Here is a 5,990-nt window from a genome sequence, read left to right as displayed (position 1 = left end):
TACATGTGCTACAATGTGGATGAACCATCAAAACCTCCAAAAGAAGCCAGTCACAAAAGGTCACATATGATTCCATTTACACAAAATACCCAGAATAGGCAAATCCATAAAGACAGACAGCAGATTGATGGTTGCCAGGGACTGGGGTAGGGGACATGGGGAGTGACTGCTTAATGAGTATGAAGTTTTCTTTCAGGTTGATGAAAATGTTTTGAAACTAGGTAGAGGTTGTGGTTGCACAACATTGTGAATGTACTAAATGCCATTGAATTGTTCACTTTAAAATGGACATGAAAAAGGTTAATTTTGTGTAAATTTCACCTCAATAAAAAAGAAGAATCAGAAGAGGGAGACAAAAGAGGAGGTTAAAGTGAGGCAATGTGGGAAGGACTTGGCCTGATATTGCTGGCTTTGAAAATGAAGGAAGATGTTATAAGCCAAGGAATGTAATGGCCTCTAGGAGCTGGGAAAGACAAGGAAAGGGATTCTCCCCTAGAGCTTCCATACAGGAATGCAACCCTGCCAACACCTTGCTTTTAGCCCAGAGAGACCTGTGTTGAACTTCTAACCCACGTTCTGACTTTTAACTATAACATAAAAACTTGTGTAGTTTTAAGCCACTAAAAAAATACACAATCATTTTAACTTTATTTTTAAATTTTATTTTGGGGCATAACAGTTTGGTAAGGTTTAACATATGTTTAGATTCATGTAACCACCACCACAATAGGATACAGACAGTTCATCATACACAAATTCTCTCATTCTTCCCTTTGTGGTCACACATCTCCCACCCCTAATCCCTGGCAACCACTGATTGTTTGCCCATTACTTTCATTCTTCCTTTGCCAGAACATCTTTGCTTTGTTCTGCATCTTAGGAGGAAAAGTATTTCTTTAGTATTGATTTTGGAACATGTCTGTTGGTGATGAATTCTTCCAGATTTCATTCATTGAGAATGTCTTTATTTCATCTTCGTTCCTGAAGGATGTTTTCACTGGATATTGAATTCCGGATTGACAGTTTTTTCTCTTTCAGCACTTTAAAAATGTTATTCCATTTCCTCTGGCCTACTTTTTTTTCCTGAGGAATCCACAGTTATTTAAGTCAATGTTTCCCTTTATATAAAGTATCATTTTTCTCTGGCTGCTTTCAAGATGTTTTGCCCTAGTTTTTAGCAGTTTAATTACGATGCATCTGGGCACGGTTTCCTTTGGGTTTTGTTTGTTTCTTTGCATCCTATTCTTCCCCTTCTCCCTCTGGAACTCTAACACTATGAATATTAGACTTTTTCGTATTGTCTCACATGCCTCCAATACTCTGTTCATTAATTTTTAATTTTTTCCTTTTGTTCAGATTGGATAATTTCTATTCAATCTTCAATTCACTGACTTTCTCTATTTTGCTATTGATCTTATCCAGGGAATATTTTATTTCGGTCATTGTAATTTTCAGTTCCAAAAAGTTTCTCTTTTGTCCTTCTTTGTATCTTCTATAGTCTTTATTGAGACTTTTTTGTTTCAAGAGAATTTTCCCTTACTTCTTGGAATATGTTTATAATAGTCGCCTTTGCATCTTTAATAATTTCAACATTTGTGTCATCTTGCAGGTGGCATCTGTTGATTGTTCTTTTCCCTATAAGTTGAAGTTTTTCTTGTCTTTCATATGTCAAGTAGTTTTGGATTGTGTCCTGAACATTTTGAATATTACATTATGAGGATCCATGTCTTGTTTAAATCCTAAAGCGAATTTTGAATTTTGTTTTGTTTTGTTTTTGCAAGCAATCAGTCTAATTAGGCTCCAGACTCGAGTTCTCCTGTGGACTGTGGTTCTAATATCAGTTCAGTTTTCAAAGCCTTTGCAGTGCTATGGGAATCTGTTGTGTGTATGTTGCCCAGTGGCCATTTGGTGGCCTGGATCATAGTCTCATGCACAGTTCAGTTCTCACACCATGTGCAGCTTAGAAGTAAGCCTCGGAGTTAATATGGAACTGCTCTCTTGAGCAGTCTCCTTTCTGAGATTATTCTGGCATTTTTGGCCCACTGAAGCCCCATTTTTTTTGTCCTCTGGTTAGAAAGCTAGGTCTTTAGTTTTCCTACCTTGCTGCATACATCTCATGGCTATACTTGAGTCTGTCCCACCAGGCAGTGTATGAACAGAGAGAGAGAAAAGGGAATGGTATTTTGTCCCACCCTCTTGGGACCACAGCTTCTCTAGTGGAGGGAAGACTCGCTTCCCTCAGAGCTTTAAGTATTTCGGTGCTCTCCAGGCTGCTGTTGCCATTGTTGTTACTGCTGCCACTATGGGATTACCTGGGGGTTGGGTGGGCAAGAGTGAAAAAAGATTTAAAAACCAGGGACTTTCTCCACTTCTTATAACTCTTAGGTGTCCCCACAACCACCTTGGACCAGAAAGTGAGGATTCTTTTTAGAGCCCTGCTTGCTTTTGGTGTGCACATCCAGGCCAGACTAATGAGTCCAGGCCAGATGATACAAGAGGGGATAAAAGATGAGAGATTCATGGTGGTTTTGGTGGTACTTCATATTCTGATCTCTTTCCCCAATTCACCTGCTCCTGTTTACTTGTCATGGTCCTTAGATAGCTGTTCAATGTAGTCTGTCCAGGGTTCATTTTTGCATTTTGTGGGAGAAACAGGGTAGGGTGTGCTTACTCCACCTTGCCCAGAACAAAAACTCCAATATATATGTCTTAATCCAACACTATAAATGGTTAAAAAACTTTGCCTTCAGCAACAGGCATAATGACCAATGCTAATTGCCAGGATTGCCTCCAATAGCTGTGTTCTTTCTGCTGGATAGAGACTCCTGGGCCACCTTAAGGGTTAGCTGAGGCAGGCACTACTATGATGGGTCACTCCTGAGGCCAAGCTACTTGAAGCAGCTCCTGTCTTCTCAGGTGCTGGTTCCTGCCTTCATCTTCCTATTCCTCCCACCCAACAGAGTCCAGGAGCTAAGTAAGGTAGCCTGAACCATGACAGAAGCATCAGTGAGGAATTGGAGCCTGGAATGTCTGACTGAGAAGTTTGGTCATGACTTAATAAGTAAAGGAAGCTCCTGAAGATTCTCAAGTAGCAACATCATGTAATCATTATCATTAAAATAATAACTAACATTTATTAAGCCATGCACTATCTTATATGTTTTTATATACATTATTATATATATATAATTACATTAAATTTTCTGATATGGTTTGGATTTGTGTCCCCACCCAAATCTAATATCAAACTAATCCTCAATGTTGGAGGAAGGACCTGGTGGGAATTGACTGGATCATGGGGGCAAACTTCCCCCTTGCTATTCTCATGATAGTGAGTGAGTTCTCATGAGAGCTGGTTGTTTATAAGTGTGTAGCACTTCACACTTTGCTCTCTGTCTCCTTCCTGCCACCTTATGAAGATGTGCCTGCTTCCCCTTCACTTTCCACCATGATTGTAAGTTTTCTGAGGCCTTCCCATCCATAGTTCCCATACAGCCTGTGGGACTGTGAGTCAATTAAACTCTTTTCTTCAGAAATCACTCTTTTCATACATAAATCTTATGTCGTTCCTTATAGCAATGTGAGAACAGGCTAATACATCTTCCAAACAGGTTGCAGGATAGATACTATTTTTCATTTGCAGATGAGGAAACTAGTTTTACCTGGAAGTGACAGGTTACTAACATCAAAGGATCAGGAAAGTGCCATCCTAACTTATGTTGAGGAGGTGAAGAACTGGATGAGCCCAGACACATATAAGCTTGTGACCTTGGGCATTAATCCCCTCTTCTGCAAAAAGGGGATAGCAATGGTGTCCACCCTGCTCTGTAGATAGGATAAGATTATGAATGTAGCATGCTTAGCACAGTGACTGGCACAAAGGAGGCACTCATAAATCACCATTTTTATTTGTTTCCCTTCTTCGGTGTAGCTGAACCAGCACATAGAGTTCTACTTGAATCTCCAAGGACTGGCAGGTGTCCTGGACCAGACTCCATTTTTAGTGATAATTGGATGCTTATTATCACCTAGAGATCTGGCTTGACAGTTATTTTGCACTTTACCAAGAAAAAACAAGTAGCTATGCCTTGGTGGCAGTCAGATGGCCAACACATTAAAATGAGTTTGCATAACCCACTACTTTACCTATGGTCAAGTGTTTAAAATGTCATCTCATCTATTTAATCAATTCCATTAAGATGTTTTTCTCTCAATTTCTGTGGAAGATGCAGGGAAAAAAGGTAATATGTATTTGTCTCTAGCATTTTCACTTGATGTGTGAGGTCACAGTTAAAAGCAGCTACCACATATTTGGTCAAGAGTTCAGGGACAATCTGGGCAGCAGGGAGCAGTAATGTCTCCATTTAAGATGCAGGAGCCAATGACTAGGTCAGTAATTTTCCACTGGCTTCAATGAGAGCCCTGACAGGGAAAGGGGTAAGAGGAAAGGAAGAGGAGATTGTGGGAGGAAACCGAGCTGGGCAACTGCATTGCGGAGACACAAGGACTGCCAGCCAATTGTCTTCGACTTGCCTATGCCAAATGTTCTGGAAATGGACTAAAGTGGGAGAAATATCACAGCAAGGTGGGACTGGGTGGCGTGTAGGGGAAGCAGGGAATCAGCAGGGGCTGTGACATCAGAGGAATCCTGTTCTTAACAGCTGTTCGCTACTGGCCAGTTGTTTAACCTCTTTGACTGAGCCTTGATTTCTTTACCAAGTGGGCAAAAAAATACTCATCTCGTATGATTGTGGGGAAAGCAGATGAGATAATGTGTGTGGCACAGCCATGGGGACTGGGGCCCAGGGCATGCTCAATAGTGCTACTTTCCCCTTTCCAACCCGGATGTCAGAGGGGACCACCTGCCCTCCAAGATCTAGAGAAGAGGATCTCAAATCCCCACCCCATCAGTGCCCAATTTTAGATTTTGGTGAAGCCCCAGGAATAATATTTCTTGCTTCCACTCCACTATGCTTTCCTCAATTAGGTTTTTGATCTAGCCCAGATGTTGACCTCAGCTTCAGACACACACACAGACTCAACACTCACACTCTTACACGCTCACACACACACATGCTCACACACACCCACTAATAAACATATACACACCACTCACACACACTCATACATGCACAATCTCACACACATACACACAACACACACACTCCCACACACGTACATACTCTCACATACACAACTATATACATGACCTACGTTCACTGAAATAATATTGTTCAGCACATTGTGTATACAGCATTCTAGGAAACATCTTTTAAAAATTGTATTAAACTCACGTTTCTGTCATTATCCTGTTATAAACCCTTCGATTCACAGATGATAAACTCTTAACAACACAGGGCATCGGTAATGATCTGAGCATCCTCTTTTGAACATTTGTCTACGAACACTTCACTACACACATAGGCCCTCACACACACAATCCCTCCCTCACACAGCCCTTGCATTCAAGACCCCTGTGTGTGTTCCAGCTGTGCTGAAACTCTGGGGCTATGGAGATTTATGCTATAAAGGACAGGGGTACAAACTGAGTACAGTCTGGTTTTTTGAAGTCTTGGACATGTCCACTTGGGCTGTCCTTCCTGCCACATTTCCCCTGCCCGCTGTTATCCCTTTCCCCGCTTCCTTCTCTCTTCCCTCACTCTGCCTTTCTGGCCCCCATTAGGGCACTTTTTTCTAACGTAAGGTGGTCTAGCATTTCTTTGTTGTCTTCTTCCAGCTCAAGCCCACAGGCTCTTGTTTTCTGCTTCCAAAGGCTTATGGAGGTGTTCTCCTAAACACACATGGTTCCTGTCCCAAGGACTTCCGGAGCAGCTGGAGAAATGCAATATGCTTGTTTTGCTCTGTTGCCTTCTCCCTGTGCAGTGTTCCATGGCCAGGGTGGCGGTGGCAGTGGTGTTAATACCTGGAGAGCATTCCACGCTTTTCTCCATTGCTGCTAACTTCCCAGGGTCCCCATCTGCACAAAATAC

General features: G+C 41.8%; 1 long non-coding RNA gene across 1 annotated transcript; it reads right to left on the bottom strand.

Moving 5' to 3' along the window:
• Positions 1-646: 646 nt before the first annotated feature.
• Positions 647-5,990, bottom strand: LOC101928618 (uncharacterized). The gene is made up of 2 exons (NR_108089.1): positions 5,924-5,990; positions 647-2,312 (listed from the first exon to the last, which is right to left on the bottom strand). It is a non-coding gene; the product is annotated as an uncharacterized LOC101928618 (long non-coding RNA).

The sequence above is a fragment of the Homo sapiens genome, chromosome 7 (assembly GCF_000001405.40).
Source record: "Homo sapiens chromosome 7, GRCh38.p14 Primary Assembly".
NCBI classification, from domain to species: Eukaryota; Metazoa; Chordata; class Mammalia; order Primates; family Hominidae; genus Homo; species Homo sapiens.
This window is presented reverse-complemented; position numbering and strand designations above follow the sequence as displayed.